This window comes from Homo sapiens, chromosome 21 (assembly GCF_000001405.40).
Source record: "Homo sapiens chromosome 21, GRCh38.p14 Primary Assembly".
Taxonomy (NCBI): Eukaryota; Metazoa; Chordata; class Mammalia; order Primates; family Hominidae; genus Homo; species Homo sapiens.
The window spans coordinates 35120594-35145062 of record NC_000021.9 but is presented as its reverse complement, the minus strand read 5'-3'; positions in this window follow the sequence as shown (position 1 = coordinate 35145062).

Genomic DNA, 24469 nt, shown 5'->3' with positions numbered 1-24469 from the left:
CAAACAAAATTTACTCACTTGGAAAATGTGTTCATAATTTGTTGCATCCTTCTTAACTTTGGGTACAAATAAACCATTTTAGATTTAAATCTAATCTGCATTGAATCTATATATGAGGATTGTTGTAATTTCTGCAAAACAGGAGAGTAAATTTCTGTTCATTTATTTGTCATTTTTCACATAAGATATTGTGGCAGTTTGAGGGGAAAATTGTCCCTGGTGCCTTTTGTTCTTGCAAGAATCTCTAGGTTTCCACTCGTATGCTGTAGTAAATATTTGTGGTTGACATCCTATGGAAACACTTTTTATAGTCCTTACCATAATCTTAGTACTGAAAATAGAACTCAATTGACCCATAGGAGTATTTTTAATAGAGATGACTTTATTGTTTTTTATATTATGAAAATTATGAGTACACCTTCTAAAAAAATATTTAAAAATAAATTTTATAATGCCCCAAATCCCAACACCCAATGGAAACATTGTTAATATAAGAGTGGGGGCCAATTTTCCAGCCACAGCCATTTCAAATTCATTATTTTAGGAAAGTGCTGTATTTCACAAACAGATGAAAAGCCTTGTCCAAAGTCACACTGCTAGTGACTCAGTGGCAAGATCAGGGCAATCAACCATCCCAGTTTTCTCAGGATTGTCTCAGGATTGTCTCAGGGATATTAAGTCCCACATCCCAGAAAACCCCCCAGTCCTGGGAAAACCCAGATAATTAGTTGGTCACCATAGGCAAAACCAGTAGAGGACCCCAAGCCTAGGTTTTTGTTGTCAATGTAAACCTAGCCACTCATACATGAAAAATGAACTTCTGTGATATATAGTTTGGTAACTTTCTCTAATCACTTCTATATATGGAACATATTTCCATGTCAACAAGTGTAAATCTGCAATACAATTTTTAATAGTTGCATGTTATTCCACCATGTGGATCAATAAAAATTTATTTCACTAAACATTTACGGATGGAGGATTGGATTATTTCCAAAGGTTTGATATGATAGATAATCCTATGATGAATAATTTTCTTACGTATACATCTGAACACACTTTTCTCTTAAGACAATTTGTTTGAGATACAATTACCAAGTTAAACAGTATACACATATTTTGGGCCGAATGTGGTGGCTCACGCCTGTAATCCCAGCACTTTGGGAGGCCAAGGTGAGTGGATCACCTGACTTCAGGAGTTCGAGACCAGCCTAGCCAACATGGCAAAACTCTGCCTCAACTAAAAATACAAAATAGCCGGGTGTGGTGGTGCAGGCCTGTAATCCCAGCTACTCCAGAGGCTGAGGCAGGAGAATCACTCGAACCTGGGAGGTGGAGGTTGCAGTGAGCTGAGATCGCGCCATTGCACTCCAGCCTGGGTGACAGAGTGAGACTCCATCTCAAAAAAAGTAAAAATAAAAATAAAAAATATACACATATTTTAAGGCTTTGGTATATATTGCCGAATGGCTCTCCAGAAATCTTATGCCAGCTTGCTTCTCACCAGTAGTTGCTTTCACTACCCAAATGGATTTTATCAATCTTTCAATAATTCATAATTTGATGAATGAGTATCAATGTGTCACTAATATTTTAATTTACATTTCTTTAATTATTAAGAATAATAATTAAAGAAGAATAAAAAACTAATTTTATGTTTTCATTGGCCCTTTAAAATTTTTTGTGTGTCTATTTTCTATTCATTAGTTTTGATCAGTCTTGTATTGAATTAGTCATCTTCTTATTGGTTTCTAAAGGTTCTCATATAACCCTTTATAATTTATGTTGCAAGTATTTTTCCAAGTTTATGTTTCTTTCAACTACCTTTGTGCTATCGGTAGTGGTGATGGGGGCCACACAGAAAATTTTGATTTCTAAATGCTTCATTTAATTCCCAATTTAAATTTTTTTAATATTTTTTTTTTACCCAATATAATTTAAATTTTTTCTGCATATTAAAAAGAAAACTCTTACACTCAGGCATTATGGGAGTCCACATAATGTAGTGGACAGAGTGGGAGGTAGAGTCAGAAGGGGGGCATCCAGCTCTGCCTTGCCCCCCAAGTCAGCAGTGGCTCTGCCCATGGTTTCTCATGGGTGAGATTAGCTTCATCAAGCCCATTCATTTCATCAGCATCACAAGAGAGCTTGATCTAGGTCTGTGGTTTTCAGCCTTGGCTGCCCTTAGAATCCCCAGGACGATTTTAAAATCTCCAGATACCCAGGACATACCTGCGACCATCTAAATCAAAATATCCAAAGTGGGATCCTGGCATCTCCATTTTTCAAAGCTCCCTGGTGATTCCAGTGTGCAGCCCAGCTTGAGACCACTGATTTGGACTATGTGCTTTCCAGACTTGATGATTTCATTAATTGTTCCTCAGGCCTCTGGCCTATAAATTTGGATAGACAGACTGGGTTGGGTTCCAAGAACCTGTGTCATGAGCAAGCATTCAACAATTCTGGTATTTAGGCATTTTAAGCCACACGGAGCCATCCAAGGGTCCTTCCAACTCCAGGAGTCAGTTATTGTCTCCATCTTTCTGGATGGCCTTCTTGCAGAAATGTTATTCTGAAGCTGAAGTCATGAGTGAAGACTTGAATTATGTCCCAGGAATTAGCACTGTGACACTTACCCATTTTCCCTGACACCATCACAGATCCTTCAAACTGTATGAGACATTGGGAATCATCTATTCCAAATTCCTAATAAGAACCCAGAGGGACACACCCAAAGTCACACAGTTATTGAATGGCAAAGCCAGACCTAGGATCCAGGCACCTCAGCCCCTGATCCAACACTACTCTCCTAGCCCCTGTTACCTCCTCATGCCTCAGTCTTTGCATCTGTGAAGTGGGGGCAAGAGTCTCTTCTTACCTTCCTTTGAGGAGTCTTCTGAAAATGGATGAGGCAATGTCTGCAGGGCTTATGAGCAACTCAGATGAAAGGCACCATAATAAGTACAAAGTACTTATTTTTCACATCATACTTTAAAGCTCTGTAAATGTTGAAAGGATCTTTTTATATAAACAAGCAGAAACAACAGTAAAAAAAAAATAAGTAGCCCCTTTATCTCACTTTTTATATCCCCAGACTCCCTTTCCCCATTAATTTTGGTTGGCGTTGCATGAACAGCATGTTCGCCTGGTTGGGAACAGGAGGAATCGGGGCTCGTGTGGATGACAAAGCACAGTTCTACCTCACCTCCTCCTGCATTACTTTCCCATACCACTCTGTACTTTGCCTTCATAACACTAATTTCAGCTTGTGCTAAAATCCTTATCTTCACAAGCATTTGCTTAATGCCCATCTACCCTGCTAGACCATAAGCAGCATGAGGCCAGGCACAATACATTTCATGTCCCCAGATCCTAAGACAGTATATTCCCCAGGGATTTTTTAATAAATGAAGGCATGACTCTGTGAATTATTGGGGCCAGTCAAAGTCCAAGGCTCATCCCTGAGTGAGGCCATCAGGGATGAGCCTCCTGTGGCCAGGAGCGGTGGCTGACGCCTGTAATCCCAGCACTTTGGGAGGCCGAGGCTGGCAGATCACTTGAGGTCAGGAGTTCAAGACCAGCCTGGCCAACATGGTGAAACCCCGTCTCTACTAAAAATACAAAAATTAGATGGGTGTGGCAGCAGGCACCTGTAATCCTAGCTACTCAGAAGGCTGAGGCAGGAGAATTGCTGGAACCCAGGAGGCGGAGGTTGCGGTGAGCCAAGATCGCGCCAGTGCACTCCAGCCTGGGCAACAGAGTGAGATTCCGTCAAAAAAAAAAAAAAAAATTGGTGTGTGTGATGCTGGCTTTGACTTCAGTCACTGGGGTGTATGGGAGGTAGGTATGGGACTGGAGCAGTCAGCATTTTAGTTGACTTGACTAAATTATAAGTGTAGATAAGACAGTTCCCTTTGCAGCTGAGAGCCCGTTATGGGATAGTATGCATTACCTCATTCATTATGGCCAAAACTCTGAGAAGCAGGTGTGCTTGGCCCCATTTTGCATAATCCCAGCCTCAGCGAGGTTGAGTAACTAGTACAAGATCACACAGCTAAGGTTTTAACCAGGTGGTTATGTTTCTTTCTGTAACGTCACACAATCTTCCTGTAATATGAACTTGGGTCTATTTCCCTATACCGTTCTCCTTGATCATAAATAAGTCGGCTGCATGAAAGACAAAATGGTCCAGTGTTTGCAGAAGGATACGGTCAAAATACTTAACAGCTCACATGCCACAGCCTCAGCAGTAGGGACAAATGCTGATTATAAAACCCCTAGTTCATTCCACTGAGATTCCAGATAACATACAGGACCTCCATGCACTTTGAATTTCAGATGAACAACAAATAATTATTTTAGTATAAGCAATACAAAGAACATACTTATACCAAAAGAAAGTTTATGCGTTGGGTTGGAAGGCCTGAGCTTCTGATCTGACATCAGACACGTCAGAACAGCACCACTGGGAACAGGTCACTCAAACTTGCTAAGTCTCGGGGGTTGATTTCTGGTGAAAATGTAAGAGCTTAACCGGGCAATGCTGACTTAGAATCAGTGCTTAAAAATGATTTGTTTTCTGCCTGGCGCGGTGGCTCACGCCTGGAATCCCAGCACTTTGGGAGGCCAAGGCAGGCAGATCATGAGGTCAGGAGATCAAAACCATCCTGGCTAATATGGTGAAACCCCATCTCTACTAAAAAATACAAAAAAATTAGTTGGGTGTGGTGGTGGGCGCTGTAGTCCCAGCTACTTGGGAGGCTGAGGCAGGAGAATGGCGTGAACCTGGTAGGCGGAGTTTGCAGTGAGCCGAGATCGCACCACTGCACTCCAGCCTGGGTGACAGAGTGAGACTCCATTTCAAAAAAAAAAAAAAAAAAAAAGATTTGTTTTCTTTTCAAAGCCTGAACAGTTGTGGTTGGGGCAAGAATCTCAACTCTAGTCTAATCTATGTCCTGCATCCTATTGTGATTTCTGTGCAGGCTGTTATGACATAATTTTTATGATTAATGAATTTATATCCCTAGCAAATTCCCTACCCTTTTAGCTGAAGGGCAAAACAATGCAAGTTTGAAAAACTGTTAAGATAAAACAGCAGCATTACTAACATATACATTTATGTTAAAACACATCAGCACTGATCCATCATCATAATATATTAGTATACTATGTATAATATCATATTCATCATTTAATAGTGAATGCATATTAAAGCCATCCAAATGCCCAAAATGAGTTTTCCCTAGATTGTGGGCCTAATGGCTAATTTTTCTTTTCTTCACACATATCTACATTCTAACTTTTCTGTAGTGAGCATGTGTGGCTTTAATAATTTTAAAAAAGAGAGAAAGAAATTACTTTTATACTTTAGTCACCAACTAAGAACTTGACAGTCTATGAGGTCAGAAAGGCAGACGTGAAGGGCAATAAGGCTAAGCAACAAAGCTTCTTCCAGAGGAGCAGATATATTTATGGAAAAATGCAGCAATTCAACTCAGAGTGAAAATGCAACGACCATCACTAGAGAGTGGAAATAATCAGTCAACGAACCCAGGTTTTGTCTACATGACATAAATAACTCTTGGGGGTGGGTTGCTTTTTTTTTTTTTTTCCGTTCCATTGGCCAATTTAGGCATACTGTGAACAGAGAATTTGATTAAGCTCCAATGTAGTGTAAGGTATGGCTTAAAATTTGTTGTTAATATCCTTGAACCCTCACCTGTCCATAGCACCCACAGGAGCAAAAAGCACCACCTTCATTACTGCCCACATCCTTCCCAACTGCACTCTGTGTTCGTGGATCTGACCTAATGGGTGAAACACTGGGGTGTTTTCTCTATTAGAGCAATGTCATGAGGCAAGGGTGTGCTGTCTGCCCCTTGAGAACATTTGTTTGTAAAGGGGTTAGAGTTTTTAATATATATGCAAAGAATGATAATGAAATGTGTCTGGCCTGAACATAATCAAGCAAGATTCCATCGAGTTTCAACAATCCAGCGCGCCAGGGTTGAAGACATTTTTACCGTAACTCGTATTTTCAGCCCTGTGAAGTTGCCGCCCACACAGGAAATGACTTGGAACAGGTGGTCCTCAGAGCTTGCTGGTCTTGTCTGGCTCCGTGGGTAATGCTTGTGGGCTCCTGAGTCACTGAATAATTATGAGCCTGAACAAAAGGCTCTCAGATAAGCCCTCAGTCAAGACACAGGGAAAGGCAAGGTGCAGAAGATGACTGTCTGAGCGTGCTAACTGTTCAGAGCGAGTTGATGAATGAGGCTCTGGAGGAAACAATGCCTCCTTGGTTTTGCTCTTCTTGGCTCCCCTGGCACCTGGTGGCAGAAGGACGAGAAAGCACAGGTGAGGGGAGTGTCGTTGCACACCTTGGCTTTTAATGAACTTAAATGCATTAGAAAACACCCTACTTAGAAACAGTCCTCCCAGAGACAATGAGCTCTTATTTCTGCACTGTGTGCCCAGTGCTGTGCATGTAGAGGCTGTATCTCTTCTCATCCTTTCCCAGGATGGGAAGTGGTGATATAATCTTTCCCATTTCACAGAGGAAGGAACTGAGGCGCAGGAGCTCACATACTTAGCTTTATCTTTCATGAGGGGAAATGGATGGGGTTATGGGCTCAATTATGTCCTCCTATACACACACACACACACACACACACACACACACATCTGTGTATGTGTATAGAAGTCCTAACCCCCAGTTTCATGGAAAGTATCCTTATTTGGAAATAGGGCCATTGCAGGTGTAATGAGTTAAGATGAAGTCACATTGGAGTAAGGTGGGTCTCTAATCCAATGTGATAGTTGTCCTTATTTAAAAAAACAAAATGCCTTGTGCAGACAGGGAGAGGGCCATGTGCAGACAGAGAATTCGAATAATACATCTACAAGTCAAGGAGTGCCCAGTACTGCTACTGGCAACCACCAGAAGCTATGAGAGAGATGAGGAAGAAGCCTCTTTTACAGTTTTCAGAGGGAGCATGGCCCTCCGACACCTTGATTTCTGACTTCTAGCCTCCAGAACTGTGAGACAATAAATTTCTGTTATTTTAAGTCACCCAATTTGTGGTACTTTGTTATGGCAGCTCCAGAAAACTAATAGAGATGAGAACTCACATGTATTGGGGGCCTGGTATGTCAATGTTAATAGAACCTAAAATAAATAAATAAATAAATAAATAAATAAACAAACAAACTTCATCAGCTACAAGTAAGAAGGAATTACTAACGTGAGTATGTGATTCAAATGAAAATAATGTGAGTGGATAATGTATGGCCGAGAGGGTATAAGAGTTAGTGGTTCTGTTAAAAAGCACAGAAATGAGAAAGAAAGGGGTCCGTGTGCAAATTCTAGAATACACCTCTTGATGGGGGTGAATTAGACCCTACTTTAGGGGAAAAAAAAATACAGGTGAACTCCTGCCACCTCTATCCAACTGCAAAGTTAGAGCCACAGTGTCTACAAAACCACCTTCACTTCTGACATCAATTTCAAGTTCAGGGGGCTCTCAAAAACACACTCAGTGTCAATAAGTCACTAGAAGGAGCACAGGACTCACTAAAGCTATTCACTGGTGATTGCAGTTTATTACCGGGAAGAATGCAGCTAACATCAGCTAAGGAAAGAAGCACATAGAGCGGAACCCAGAGAGTACCAAAGGCAGGGCTTCCATCGTCCTCTCCCTGTGAATAACAACAGCATCACTTTTCCAGCATGCTGTGCAACAACACACCACGCAGGGAAACCCACCCGAGCCTTTGCATCCAGGGGCTCCGCTGGGGTCTTATCACCACCTAGGCATGGCTGGCTGCCCAGGTAACTGGGCTCAGTTCCCAGCCCCTCAGACCAAGCTGAGACCACATGACCTAAAGCCCCCATCTTCACTAAGGCTTGTTGATGTGACCCAAGGCCCCACCCAAAATCACCTTGTCACTATCTGGCTGGTCCAAGGCCTGCAGGCAAACAAAGCCACTCCTATCAGACATGACATTCCAAAGGCACAGATCACTTCCCAGAAGCTGAGAGCAAAAGGCCAGGCCTTTCTCTGAGCATATTTAGATTCTTTACTTCACCTTAGGTTACATACAGTCCTCTGTTTTTCCATCTGACCCAACCCTGATAAACAGCTCCACAACCCCAACTCTGGGAGCAACCTTTCCTCCCGGTAGAGGCTTGGAATGAGAAGGGATATCTCTCTCACCTTCCCACAGGCTCCCTTGTGTGTCTAGAGCAAAGTCTTCTCCAAGCCTCTCACAGGAAGGAGTCTTTGTGCAGCTGGGTCTTCCAATGTCCAGTTTGCCTGTGCTCACCAGGCTGGCTGTGTCTAGGAACAATAAGAGGCTCAGCCCAGGAAAAGCAAGAAAAACCTAGTTTTGCTTTGGTCAGCAGGGATGGATATGGGACAGTAGAGATGAGGGTCTTTGAAAAGGTGAGAAGACAGCACCCTGGCAGCAGCAGGACCCCAGGATGAAGGCCAGAGCCACTGAGCCAGCAGCTATCCCTGTACCAGAGACGCTGATGGATGAGGGTCCTCCCACAGCCCAAGTGGGGGTGGGGGAGGTACTTCTCTTCCTTGTGATTCTGTTTTTTATGCCAAAATACGGTGCGTGTGACCCTTTTCAGAAGCTGCCTTCCATAACCAAATTAACCAAAAGGAGCAGCAGATAACATTTATGTATTCTTCCTCCTGATTCTAGAATCAGTGACTGTTCCCTTTTCTGAAAGTTCAGAGTGTTTTTGGAAAGCAGCTGCTTCTCTTCTGCCCATAAGAGCATTCATGCATCTGTCTAATTTCTTACATTTTACCACCAAACAGTATAAGTTATTTCCACATTTTCATGCAGCATGCAAAACCATTTAAAATATTTTTACAATGCAGACAAAAATTAGTGTGAGGGAACAAGTTGCCTGAGCAATACTCTGTCCCAGCTGCTGCGTGAAAAGGGTCTTCCATCCTCCATACATTTTTTGATGCAAAATATGCTGCAGGCAAGAGGGGCAATTTTAAAAGGAAAACCAGAAAAGAAATGGAAAGAAAACAGAAAATTAGTGTAATCATTTATAGCCAATTTGAACTTTTTTCCACGACTTTACAGGATTTAAAAGACTCATTGAATGGTAAATGACTGAAATAAAAATATTGTTTAATGGAACTCTATGGACAACATACCTGCAACTGGAAATGGAGTTAAAGTTATCAAAATTATTTCCATGGATCCATGAGACCTACAGGATGGAAGAAATGTGTTTCAAATCTTGAGTTTTGACCCATCATTTGAAATTCATTTTCTCTGACTTTTCCATAAGCCATGCCAATGAAAACAAAGGAACCAGCCCTTGCCCCAGACCACAGCTCCCCCCGGCCCACCAGGCTCACCAGCTTTCTGACGCTGCCATGTGGATTCAGATGAATGCAAGCAAGTCGTCCTGGCGTCTGTTTTTCATTGACAAGAGCAGAAAATTAGCATCACCTTCGGCCAAATTCTGCGTTGTATTCCATAATGCATTAGGGGTCCCCTTCTGATTTTATTTCACGTTTGGCTTGATAGCACAGTTTCCCTTAACTTCAAAGGTTGTTCTCTGCCTGAATAGCTTATCCAGCTCAGAGGATAAGAAATAGGCCTTTATTCTAAATGGGGATTTACCCACCAAACCTATAAGAGAACCAAAAGGCAAAAAGTTCTTGATAGTAAAGTAAAGTAAAACCTTAATAGGACTTTTGATGTACAAATGCTTCCCTTAGTTTAGAAAAATCCAGATGCAGCCATATTTCTACATGATGACAAATTGTCATAGACTTCCTGACATAAGCCACTGCAAACCCTAGCAGGCAGAACTAACTGAATTTTTGCTTCTAATCCTGATGGGGCATTAGCAGGACTCAGGCTTTGCATGGTATGTTTGGGCTTTTCCAGTTTTACATGGATTTTTTATAGTATATTAATATCATGCGTAATGTCAACATTTGGAAAAGGTTCGTGACTGACGGGGCTGAAAAGGCATATTTCTCCAACAGCCTGTTTCTATAATTGAAGTCATTCTTCTTCAAGACTCAGACCACCATATGCTTCCACTTTTTTCCCCCCTGTTTTATCGAGAGACCTTGGCACACTGGATTTCAGCATAAATTTCAAATATATTAAGACAGTTCCAAAAACGCAAGCCAGCTCACCCTCAGCTCCTTGTGGTCCCCTCTCAGGAGAGTTTACTGAGGCCTGGACTCCTCTCAGCTGTGGTTGGGGTCAGCCCTAATAACAGTAATCACTGAGGTTTATTGAGTGTTTACTATATGCCAGGTTCTGTGCTAAGTGTTTTATGTGTGTTAGGATATTTAGTCCTCCCAAAAACTCTATAAAGAAAGATGAGAAAACTGTGGCATGGAGACAAGGAGTTTGTTCAAGGTCCTAGGACTAGTGCATTCATACAAGCCTTCAATGCCCAATCCCATGTTCTTCATTTTCACTATATTGACCCAGATCAGCAGACTAATGCCTCCTCACCACCCCTACACACAAATACACACCCACACACATCCCAACACACACACTCATTCTTGAATATCTCCCTTTAGGGACTCTCACTTCTGCTACTGAGGGTGCAATACCTTCTTCCACTCCCTGGCTCACTCTAAGCCCTCGTAGGGGGAGGAAGATTGTTCTTTTCCTGGCTGGGGTCCATCATTGTAAAATGCATTTGACCCACAACTAATTTCTTCCTAAAGCCACCCACCCGGGTGACAGAGAGATAACCCAAGACAGTACATATTTGTTAAGCACCAATTATTTATGAAACATGTGTTATTATGATGCAGCAAACTGTTTACAGACCCCTGCCCTTCAGCTACACACACACACACACACACACACACACACACAAACACACACACACACACGTTTGACCTGCTGGACTCCTGAGCCTTTGTGGAGTATTCTGCAATCCTGATTGGAAAGGATTGGAAAAAGGAAATTGGAAAAATCCAAAGGAGGATGAGTTGCCTGTCTTAGAAAGGACCCTGAGTCATTCCCAAGAGAAAAGAATCAGGAGTGATGAAGGAGAGACTGAAAAAGAGAACAGGGGACTTTGAGAAGAATCTTTTCTAAGGAGAAGTCTTACAGCCCTTAACTCTGTCTTTCCAAGGATGTAATCCTCCCCGTTTTGCCTCTTCAAGAGGCTTCAGTAAGAACTTACTTGACTCCCTGATGCTCTTGCAATCAGAACTGTATCTCTTTGAGATGTGTGACTTTGCCGAGCCAGGACTGATGGTGCAAGTTGAGCATCGGGAGGGGGTTAGACTAGGTCCTACCAAATACAGAAGGATGACCTCTGACCTTAGGGAGCTCACACCCTAATATGCTGTTTAAAGAAAATAGCACACAACTTTAGAGCAGCATAAACACATCACCAGCATGAGGTTACAAGAACAATGAAAAGAGACGTAGTGTTAGGAATCCAACCGGAGATGGCTTCTGTGTGTTTCCTGGAGAGATAGGTTTGGGACACGAGTGGAATTTGGAGGGGAGCTGTCTATGCATGAGGACCCTTTTATCCTGTCGCGCTTCCCACCTAGGGTAACCACTTTGTCCCGTGTCCTGGGAAGCCCACCAGCCCTGGGCAAACCAAGATGGTTGGTCACCAGACTCCTATCATCAGCCAAGAGCAGAAGGGCCTAACACTGTACATGTGTCCCACTTCATGTGTGCTCTTTATGCCTCATTTTTAGACAAGGAAACTGAAGATCAGAGAAATAAGAAGATTTGCTCAAGGTGACAAAATTAGCAATGGCTTGGGTTGGGATTTGAGTCTAGACACGATTCTAACATGAAGATACCTCATTGTCTTCCACTATTTGTATTTGAAGCCCTCAAAATTTTTCTCATTATTTTTAAAATTTTACTTCCTATTATTTCCTACTTATTCTTTGCACTTAGGCACGAGGCCAGCTAAAATGCTGTTAGTAGTAGAGTTGCCCTGTTAAATAGAGTGAAGGCTGTTCATGTGGATTTTGATTCTACTGCTTTACAGATACTTATAAGGTAGACTTAAAATGTACTGGAAGGAAAGAGGATGGCATTGGGGTTTGAAAAAGGCTTAGGGAGCATGAATAATAATGGATGATGAGAAAATTATTTTTAAGATACTGTATATAATTCTTTTTTTTTTTTTTTTTTTTTTGTGAGATTGAGTCTCACTCTGTCACCCAGGCTGGAGTGCGGTGGCGTGATCTTGGCTCACTGCTACACCCCGCTCCCGGGTTCAAGCAGTTCTCCTGCCTCAGTAATCTTGAGTAGCTGGGATTACAGACAATGTGTAATTATTTTACCAAATCATTACACTAAATATGTATACTCCAGAACCCTGCTACTCACCTTTTTTAGAACTGAAGCTATTTATGAAATCTGGAAAATAAGCTCTAAACAAGTTTATGAAATTAATAAAGATGCCAGCCCTACTTTGCTGATGGATAGGTGCCTATGGAAACCAAATAAGACAATGAATGTGAAAGTGCTTTGAAAAGTCACAAAGCATTAATTTCTGTAATGTGCCATTTTTATCTCAATGTTATTATTTTATGTGACGCATCAATGTTTTCTCTCTTTTTTTTTTGAGACAGAGTCTCACTCTGTCACCCAGGCTGGAGTGCAGTGGTGCGATCTCGGCTCACTGCAAACTCTGCCTCCTGGCTTCAAGCAATTTTTCTGGCCTCAGCCTCCCAAGTAGCTGGGATTATAGGCTCCCGCCACCACACTTGGCTAATTTTTTGTATTTTTAGTAGAGATGGGGTTTCACCGTGTTGACCAGGCTGGTCTCAAACTCCTGACCTTAGGTGATCCACCCACCTCAGCCTCCCAAAGTGCTGGGATTACAGGCGTGAGCCACCGCACCCAGCCAATGTTTTCTCTTAATGACCTAGAATTATATTGCTCAAAGTTATTGTTCAGGTTTAAAAGCGGGGGGAGAGGAGGTGTTGCAATATAAGGGTTTGTGGGATTTGCATCTTGTTCCAGCAGTACAGATGTGTTAAATATGAATGAAACGTGATCCTGGAGATAAACTCCCTGTCTCCTACATTTTTCCACAAAATCACATATTAAACGCCCTGACTTCAGGAATACTATAGAAAAATAAATGGGTAGATGGAGGGGTGGGATGGGGGTAGGGAATAGGCTGAATGGGAAGACGGATGGATAGGTGGGAAATGGAGAGATGAATGATGATGGAACCCATCTCTTGGGTGAGTGAGATACTGTTCTGACCCTGGGCCATGATGCATTGAGCTAATTCTGGTCAGGTTAATTGTGTCAGTCCACAGTGTGCTGATACACATGCGTGTGTGCACACACACACATACGCATGCACACACCCATCTGCTCTCAGGGAAGCCTGCTTTGGCCTCGTGCTTATTAGCATGTATCACCTTGAAAGAAAACAACCTTTGGCATATCTGAATATATGCCTCCAATCCCTTTGCCCCTCAACTCCTTCTTATAATAACACAAGTAAGCAGGCTTACTGTGGAGCTGGAAGGGTGTCTGTGGCACTGAGAGTTCCAGGAACTGCAGCTACACAGGGTGGTCCACCTCACCTTCTCTCTGCTTAGTGTCAGCCCTAGGTATGCACCAGATGTTTACATGATTATTATTATTCTTAGTGGGAACCAAGGGACCCATGGTATAGTAGAGGCTGGCCTGTCCTCTACGTCTGAGGCCAATGCCACTGATTTCATGGCTCCCCAAGGAGGCCCAGCCAGCAGAGCCCTTAAGTTCTTCTTGGAAAGGATTGTACCTGTCTCCTTGTTGGGTGGAGCATGGAGTGGCTTCCCAGTGGCCAGCCCTGGTGGACATAGGCCAAAGCTCTTTTGCAAGTTGAAGTTACCCAATGCTCCTGTGGTTGACAGGGGCTGCCAGTGTATGCTCCAGAGAGGTCTGGGTGGCCAGGTCTGTCTCTCTCAGACCCCAAACCAGAGTCTGACCTACCCTCCCCCAGCCTCCAGCTTGTCCCTGTTCAAGAGACTCCCAACATCCAGACCAGAATGAGTGCTGGAAAATACACAGCTACAGGTGTGCTAAGGAAAACAAAGAAGATGAACGGGACTCGGTCCTCCAAGGGAGAGGCCCCAAGGCCACACCTACCAGTGGTGATTCCAATTGAAGAAGAAGAAGAGAAAAACTGAAAAGGGATGAGACTCTTCAGGGATATGCAATTACAGCACCAAAAGTAACTTTGGAGAACTAAGAAGCATGCTTTTGATATTGAAAACAAATAAACTGAAAAAATGTGAATTTGTGTTTCAGAAAACCAAAAAGAAATATCTTACAGTTTGAATAAATCTCAAAGCAATGAAAACCATAAAAAAAGAAAACATAAGAGACTTGGAAGATATAACACAAATAGTAGGGATTTCAGAAGGAGAAAACAGTGCCTGGGGAGGGAAAATTTAAAAGCAATGAAAAAGCAAGAGAATTAAGGTATCTCTGTGACGCTAAATAAATGAGTTAGCCTTGACTATCGGGTACACATTGATTGTATGGGTTTTTGGTCATGGTATGGAGGTATGATTTTTTAATCCATCCTTGCAAAGGCAAGCTTGCATTCCTTTGGGTAGAAAGTGGAACTTTGCCTGGGCAGAAAGGCCATTTCTGGTTTTAATTTCTGGGTAATGAATGGAAGTAGACAGAAGGCAGATCCTAAGAAGGTGGGAAAGATGATTCTTTCTCTCTTTCTTGGTCTGAATGTTTAGGCAACTCATATGGAGCAAATTGCTCCCCAATGTTGCAGTGTAAAGACAAAGTAGGTAAAATACAGGAGAGGTGGAAAAAATACCAGGTGAGCTTGAGTTTTGCTGGTTCCATGGAAAGGGTTGAGCCTGCAGTATCCCCAGCCTTCTCATTCGTGTTTCCTTAATTTGTGATGTTCACTTTTCTTGTCTCACAAATTTTAGTAAAGCCATTTTGAATATTTCAAAATATTTAATGAGTACCAGTAGCCCCCTGGGTCCACACAGGCATGGCAAAAATTATCAGGACTATTCCCATCACCAACCCCAAGCCAAGCAATTGGGAAATTGCAAGAGCTTAATCTCTCTAGAAGAGGATTCTGTTTAGAGTCTAACTGGGTAGTTCTGGGTTTATTTTCTTGTTTTCTTTTATGCTTTACCACCTTCGACCCAGTTTCTGTATATCATATCTTTGGATAGATATTTCATCTGTGATGGATGTTTGGCAAATTAGCTGACTTTAAGTCACTGTATTTCAAATAGGATCTGTGAAGGCTACTCTCCAAAGCAGATGTGGGTGACCTATATATAGCTTATCTACTTCCTATGGGAGGAAGGACAACATCCTTTGGTACTCTGACCTACTGATACCCTCACTTCTTAGAGTTAGGCTTCTGATCTTGGCCAGAGCCACCAACAATGCACCTACTTGAGTGATAGTAACATGTGAATGGATAATGTATGTGCTCTTCCAGGATATTAAACTCAGTGGACTGTACAGTTTGTATGATATGATGGATTAAATATTTCTACCCCCCATTCATATGTTAAAATTCTAACCCCCAAGATGATGGTATTAGATGATGGGGCCTTTTTAAGACAATTAGGTCATGAAAGAGTAGGCCTCATGAATGGGATTGGTGCCCTTATAAATGGGATCCTAGAGAGCTCTCCAGCCCTCTTTCCACCATGTGAGGACCCAGCAAGAAGTCGGCCATCTATGAACCAGGAAGTGGGCCTTCACCAGACACAGAATTGTCTAGCACGTTTGTTCTTGGACTTCCCAGCCTCCAGAGCTGTGGGAAATGAAATAAATGCTTATTATTTAAGCCACCCAGTCTGTGGTATTCCCATATAGCAGCCCAAACTGAGACACAAAGCCTCTACCACACTGAGGCCTCCCCTGCTTTATCACATGAACCTCTATTAAGACACCAGTATTTACAAAGCAGACATGGTTCCTACTTCTTTCACATACACATCTGAAAACCTAGCCTCAAAGAAGAGCATAGTAGTATATTTTGTGTCTTGCACCTATGGAACCACAGAATGTTCTAGGACAATATGTCTGGAATTCCTGGTAGAACCAAGAACTGCTACCTTACACAGCAGAACCTAAAATGCTCCAAACTCCCCAAGTCTTTCTTTGCTTGACTTGTTAAGGGACCCTAGCTGGGAACTTGACCTGAGTTATTAAGACTAGTTTAAAAATCCTTGGCCTACATGCCAAGGCTGTTGCCCTGTGTTCTTTGGGCTCATTGCAGCTCTGAGTCGCTCGCTCCTGCTGGTGCAAGTAGGCCAAGGAGACTTCCTCCTGCCTGGCTCAGTAGGTCTCAGAGAGGTGAACAATAGGGATGCTTCTCTCAGTGAAATAGTCTTAATCATCATGTCCTAAATTGGGACACAATCTTTGGCTGCAGGGATTCTTGGAGAATGCCATTCTGTGTGTAACAGGGCTCTTGTGCAGTTTAGGATTTCCACAAATATCAAGACGGAACTTGAAAGACACCAGAAGGATTTGAGTTAAACATTAGGCCAGGGAACAAATTGCTTCCCAAAGACCTGTTCAACTCCTTGACTGGAAGTTTGATAAGTCTCTAGGAGAAAAACATGTGAAAAGATTAAGCTTGGTTTAATTAGACAAAAAAAGTAGGATATATGTCAATAGAGATAAATCTGCCTAAAGTTTCAGAAATCAGACTTCAGCATCTGCAGCTGCTCACTTTCATGGCCCTTGTAAGATTTATATGCACAATTTTATTGTAATCATTAATCTAGATGATCTAAGATTATGTTATTGCATTAAAGGCTAAAGTGATGAAAAGATCAAGGCGTTTAATGAAGTGCAAAATTCATCCCACTTAAAAAGAGCAATGTTTCCTTCCCAAGGGAAACCCCAACAGAAAATGAGGCTTTTTCATTTAAGTTGTTTTTGTTTAAAATCCTGGATGGCAGGATAAATTTCTGTCATTTTCACACATAAATAGCAACAAGTGGCAATGAGGCAATTGAATTCCTTGGCAGTGAGTCTCACATGCCTTCCTCAGTTTAATGAGACAGATCAATAGAAGGTAGCTTATGTAACTGAAGGGCAGAGATAAATAATTTTAACGCTCTCCCAATGTTGGTTTAGGAGGTAAAACACCTACTGAGATCTTAGAAGCTCAGGCCCATCACAATTCTGGCTCATCTATCTTTCATCTTCTTAAGTTTGCTATTTAGCTGCAGCTAAAATTTTGTTAGTTTGAATATGTATATTTAAATACATATTTGGGCTCATTGCAGGTCTGAGTATTTGAATATATATATATATATTCAAAATAGTCTGTTCTGAAACTATAATAGATAGTTCTGAAAATATCTATAACTATATATTAATTAGTTTATTCTATCTGAAATTATTTCTTCCTAACAAAGATATAGATAAGACTTAAGAGAGGAAATTAAGAAAGTAAGAAAGAAAATAGGTATAGTATGAATGCCATAGGAAAATCTGGCCATCTCCATTTAAATGGGAAGGAATTGTGACAAAATAACTGATTCCTGTTTGCCTTTGGTCATTAAAAATGTTAAGAGAAACACAAAGGAAAGCACACCACATGGAGAAACTGTAAATAACGCACATATGAATAATTCTAAATAAAGAAGTAGATGACGACTGGGGTGGATTCAGAATCTTTCCAACGTAGGAATTTTGAAACATTTATTCACTTTTCTCTTTTCGTATGCAAACAGAAGCAGATTGCAGCACAGCAAACCTTGCGCTGAAGCGTGGCTCACAGAGATGCTGCTCACAGATGAGTACTGACGGGGTGATGGTCAGCAGATGGGGAGACAGTCATTGGCACAGGAGTGTTCAGAAACAGTTGTTCATTTAAACCACAGCCAGTCAAAATATTGAATGAACTCTTTCCCAGGTCCTGAAATTCTACATTTTCATGAACAAGCACCAGATGCCAATCACTCTTTCCAAAAATGAGTGCACACACTATTTTCACCACTCTCTGTTGCATGACTGGCACCATTCTGCTCATTCTTATGCTTTTTCAGATGTGCCAGTATTGTTTCATCTTTCTCATCTAATAGCTCACAGAGGGGAGGCTTTATGCTGTGTTACACACATGGTGAGTGTCAAAATGTGGAGCTAACTAACCAATTCCTCAAACTTTGGGGTCTTGTAAAAACCACAATGGTGTGTTTCTTTTTTCTTTTTTAAATTTTTTAAACTGTTATATTTCAATAGGTTTTTGAGAAACAGGTGTGTTTGGTTACATGAATAAGTTCTTTAGGGGTCATTTCTGAGATAGATTTTGATGCACCCATCACCTGAGTAGTGTACACTGTACCCAGTGTCTAGTCCTTTATTCCTCACCACCTCGTACTCTTTTCTCTCAGTCCCCAAAGTCCAACGCATCATTCTTATGTCTTTGTGCCCTAATAGCTTAGCTCCCACATATGAGTGAGAATGTACAATATTTGATTTTCCATTTCTGAGTTACTTTACTTAGAATACTAGCCTCCAATTCCATCCAGGTGGCTGTGAATGCCAATATTTTGTTCCTTTTTATGGCTGAGTAGTATTCCATGGTGTGTATGTATGTGTATATATATATATACCATATTTTCTTTATCCACTCGTTGATTGATGGGCATTTGTGCTGTTTCCATATTTTTGCAACTGCAAATTGTGCTACTACAAACATGCATGTGCAAGTATCTTTTTTGTGTAATGACTTATTTTCCTCTGGGTAGATACCTGGTAGTGGAATTGCTGGATCAAACAGTAGATCTATTTTTAGTTTTTTAAGGAATCTCCACACTGTTTTCCATAGTGGTTATACTAGTTTCCACCCCCACTACAGTGTAAAAGTGTTCCCTTTTTACTGCATCCCCACCAACATCTATTATTTTTTGATTGTTTTGATTATGGCCATTCTTGCAGGAGTTAGGTGGTATCAGATAATGGTTTTGATTTGCATTTCCCTGATAATTAGTGATGTTGAGCATTTTTCCATATCTTGTGGACCAGTTGTATATCTTCTTTTGAGAGTTGTCTATTCATGTCCTTAGCACACTTTTTGATGGGTTGTTTTTTGTTTTTTTGTTTGTTTTTTCTTGCTGATTTGTTTGAGTTCTTTGTAGATTCTGGATATTAGTCCTTTGTCAAATGTATAGATTGTGAAGATTTTCTCCCATTCTGTGGGTTATCTATTAATTCTGCTGAATATTTCTTTTGTTGTGCAGATTTTCAAAAGTCCCATCTATTTATCTTTGTTTTTGTTGCATTTGTTTTTGTGCTCTTAGTCATAAAGTCTTTGCCTAAGCCAATGTCTAGAAGGATTTTTCCAATGTTATCTTCTAAAATTTTTATGGTTTCAGGTCTTAGATTTAAGTGTTTGATCCGTCTTGAGTTGATATTTGTATAAGGTAAGAGATGAAGATCCAGTTTAATTCTTCTACATGTGACTTGCCAATTATCCCAGCACCATTTGTTGAATAGGGTGTCCTTTCCCCAATTTATGTTTTTGTTTGCTTTGTCAAAGAACAGTTGGCTGTAAGTATTTGGCTTTATTTCTGGGTTCTCTATTCTGTATCATGCTGTTTTGGTGATTATGGCTTTATAGTATAGTTTGAAGTTGTGCAATGTGATGCCTCCAGTTTTGTTGTTTTTGCTAAGTCTTGTTTTGGCTATGCAGGCTCTTTTTTGATTCTATATTCTTAGGATTGTTTTTTCTAGTTCTGCGAAGAATGATGGTGGTGTTTTGCTGGGAACTGCATTGAATTTCTAGATGGCTTTTGGCAGTATGGTCATTTTCACAATATTGATTCTACCCATCCATGAGCATGGGATGTGTTTCCACTTTTTTTGCATTGTCTCTGATTTCTTTCAGCAGTGTTTTGTAGTTTTCCTTGTAGAAGTCTTTCATGTCCTTGGTTAGGTAAATTCCTAAGTATATTTTTTTTTTTTTGCAGCTGTTGTGAAGGGGGTTGAGTTCATGATTTGATTCTCAGCTTGGTCACTGTTGGTGTATAGCAGAGCTACTGATTTGTGTACGTTAATTTTTGATATGGCCTTTCTGTCCCCACCCAAATCTCATCTTGAATTGTTATCTGAATTTTAATGCCCACATTTGGGGAGGGACCTAGTGGGAAGTGATTGGATCACAGGGGCTGTCACCCCATGCTGTTCTCATGATAGTGAGTGAATTCTCACAAGATCTGATGGTTTTATAAAGGTCTCTCCCCCTTTGTTCAGCACTTCTTCCTGCCACCATGTGAAAAAAAGATGTTTTTGCTTCCCCTTCCACCATGATCGTAAGTTTCCTGAGGCCTCCCCAGCCATGCTGAACTGTTAAATAATTAATCCTCTTTCCTTTATAAATTAACCAGTCTCAGGTATGTCTTTATTAGCAGTGTGAGAATGGACTAACACAATTTTGTTTCCTGAAATTTTGCTGAATTTATTTACCAGTTTTGGGAGCTTTCGGGATGAGTCTTTAGGGTTTTCTACATATATGATCATATCATCAGCAAACAGCAACAGTTTGACTTCCTTTTTACCAATTTGGATGCCCTTTATTTCTTTCTCTTGTCGGATTGCTCTGGCTAGGACTTCCAGTACTATGTTGAATGTTGAATAGAAGTGGTGAAAGTGGGAATCCTTGTCTTGTTCCAGTTCTCAAGGGGAATGTTCTCAACTTTTCCCCATTCAGTATAATGCTGGCTGTGGGCTTGTCATAGATGGCTTTTATTACCTTAAGGTATGTTCATTTTATGCCGATTTACTGACGGTTTTAATCATAAAGGGATGCAGGATTTTGTCAAATGCCTTTTCTGCATCTATTGAGATGATTATGTAATTTTTGTTTTTAATTCTATTTATGTGGTGTATCACATTTATTGACTTACATATGTTAAGCCATCCCTGCATCCCTGGTATAAAACCCACTTGACCGTGGTGGGTTATCTTTTCTGTATGCTGTTGGATTCATTTCACTAGTATTTTGTTGAGAACTTTTGCATCTATGCTCATCAGGGATATTGTTTTCTTTTTTTTTTTTTTAATGTCCTTCCTTGGTTTTGGTATTAGGGTGATACTGGCTTCATAGAATGATTTAGGGAGGATTCCCTCTTTATCTTTTGGAATAGTGTCAATGGGATTGGTACCAATTCTTTGAATGTCTGATTGAATTCAGCTGTGAATCCATCTGGTTTTGGACTTTTTTGGCAATTTTTTTATTACCATTTCAATCTCAGTACTTGTCATTGATCTGTTCAGAAATTCTATCTCTTCCTGGTTTAATCTAGGAGTGTTGTATATTTCCAGGAATTTATCCATATCCTCTAGCATGTCCTCTAGGTTATCTAGTTTATGCTCATAAAGATGTTCATAGTAGCCTTATATAATCTGTTGTATTTCTGTGGTATCAGTTGCAATATCTTCCATTTTGTTTGTAAATGAGCTTATTTGGACTTTCTTCTTCCCTTGGTTAATCTTGCTAATGGTCTATCAATTTTATTTATCATTTCAAATAACCTGCCTTTTGTTTTATTTATCTTTTGTATTTCTTTTGTTTCAGTCTCATTTAGTCCTGCTTTGATCTTGGTTATTTCTTTTCTTCTCCTGGGTTTGGGTTTGGATTGTTTCTGTTTTCCAGTTCCATGAGGTGCGACTTTACATTGTCTATTTGTGCTCTTTCAGACTTTTTGATGTAGGCATTTAATGCTATGAACCTTTCTCTTAGCACCACCTTTGCTGTATTGCAGAGGTTTTTATAGATTGTGTCACTATTATTGTTCAGTTCAAAGAAATTTTCAGTTCCCATCTTGATGTCATTGTTGACCCAATGATCATTCAGGAGCAGGTTATTTAATTTTCATGTATTTGCATGGTTTTGAGGGTTCCTTTTGGAGTTGATTTCCACTTTTATTCCACTGTATTCTGAGAGAGTACCTAATATAAATTCGATTTTCTTAAATTTCCTGAGATTTGTTTTGTGGCCTATCATATGGTCTATCTTGGGGAAAGTTCCACGTGCTGATGAATAGAATGTATATTCTGCAGTTGTTGGGTAGAATGTTCTGTAAATATCTGTTAAGTCCATTTGTTGTAGGGTGTAGTTTAAGTCCATTGTTTCTTTGTTGATTTTCTGTCTTGATGACTGGTCTAGTGCTGTCAATGGAGTACTAAAGTCCCCCACTATTATGTATTGCCATCGATCTCATTTCTTAGGTCTAGTAGTAATTGTTTTATAAATTTGGGAACTCCAGTATTAAGTGTGTATATATTTAGAATCATATTATCCTGTTGGACTAGTCCTTTTATCATTATATAATGTCCCTCTTTGTCTTTTTTTTAACTGCTTTTGCTTTAAAGTTTGTTTTGTCTGATATAAGAATAGCTACTCCTGCTCACTTTGGGTGTCCATTTGCATGGAGTATCTTTTTCCACCCCTTTACCTTAAGTTTATGTGAGTCCTTATGTGTTAGGTTAGTCTCCTGAAGACAGCAGAAACTTGGTCAGTGAGTTCTTATCCATTCTGCCATTCTGTAACTTTTAAGTGGAGCATTTAGGCTATTTATATTCAATGTTAGTATTGAGATGTGAGGTACTATTCTATTCATCATGGTATTTGTTGCCTGGATACCTTTTTTTCATTGTGTTATTGTTATACACGTCCTGTGAGATTTCTGCTTTAAGGGGGTTCTATTTTGGTGTATTTGAGAATTTTCTTTTCAAGATTTAGAGCTCCTTTTTAGCAGTTCTTATAGTGCTGGCTTGGTAGTGGTGAATTATCTCAGCATTTGTTTGTCTGGAAAAGACTGTATCTTTCCTTCATTCATGAAGCTTAGTTTCACTGGATTCAAAACCCTTGGCTGATAATTGTTTTGTTCAAAGAGACTAAAAATAGAACCCCAACCCTTTCTAGAATTTAGAGTTTCTGCTGAGAAATCTGCTGTTAATCTGATAGGTTTTCCTTTATAGGTTACCTGATGCTTTTGCCTCATAGCTCTTAAGATTCTTTCCTTTGTCTTGACTTTAGATAACCTGATGACTATGTGCCTAGGCGATGATCTTTTTGTGATGAATTTCCCAGGTATTCTTTGAGATTCTTTTATTTGGATGTCTAGATCTCTAGCAAGGCCAGGGAAGTTTACCTTGATTATTCCCTCAAATATGTTTCCCAAACTTTTAGATTTATTTTCTTCCTCAGGAATGCCAATTATTCTTAGTTTTAGATGTTTAACATAGTCTCAAACTTCTTGGAAGCTTTGTTTATTTTTTAAATTCTTTTTTCTTGGTCTTTGATGGATGGGGTTAATTCAAAAGCCTTGTCTTCGAGCTCTGAAGTTCTCTCTTCTTCTTGTTCTGTCCTGTTGCTGAGACTTCTAGTGTATTTTGCATTTTGTTTAAGTGTGTCCTTAATTTCCAGAAGTTGTGATTGTTTTTATTCATGCTATCTATTTCACTGAAGAATTTTCCTTTCATACCCTATATCATGTTTTTTATTTCTTTAAGTTGGACTTTACCTGTCTCTTGTGCCTCCTTGATTAGCTTAATAATCTACCTTCTGAATTCTTTTTCTGGCAATTCAGAGATTTCCTCTTGGTTTGGATCGCTTGCTTGTGAGCTGGATGATCTTTTGGGGATGTTAAAGAATCTTGTTTGTCATATTACCAGAACTGTTTTTCTGATTCCTTCTCATTTGGGTAGACTATGTCAGGGATGATCTGGGACTCCAGGGCTGCTGTTCAGATTCTTTTATCCCATGGGGTGCTCCCTGAATGTGGCGTTCTCCCCCTTCTCCTAGCAGTGGGGCTTCCTGAGAGCTGAACTGTAGTGATTGTTTTTGCTCTCCTGGGTCTAGCCACACAGCAGAGCTTCAGGGCTCCGGGCTGATAGTGGGGAGTGTCTGCAAAGAGTCCTGTGATGTGATCTGTCTTCAGGTCTTTTAGCCATGGATACCAGCACCTGCTCTGGTGGAGGTAGCAGGGGAATGAAGTGGACTATGTCAGGGTCCTTGGTTATGTTTTTGTTTAGTGTGCTGGTTTTATGTTGCTTGGCTTCCAGCCAAGGGGTGGCACTTTCAAGAGTACATTAGCTGCAGTCCTATAGGGAGGATACAATCTTGTCTGAGGGACACCTGGTTAAGTGTTCAGGTTTCTCAGGCTGTGGGCAGGGCCACAGAGCTCCCAAAAGATTATGACCTTTGTTTTCAGCTACCAGGGCAGGCAGAGAAAGACCACCAGGTGGGGTTAGGGATAGGTTTGTCTGAGCTCAGCCTCTCCTTTGGCGGGGCTTGCTATGGCTGCTGTGGGGGATGAGGGTGCGGTTCCCAATCCAATGGAGTATTGTATTCCCAGGGGGATTATAGCTACTTCTGCTGAGTCGTGCAGGTCACCAGGGAAGTGGGGGAAAGCCAGCAATCACAGGCCTCACCCTACTCCCACACAGCCCGCAG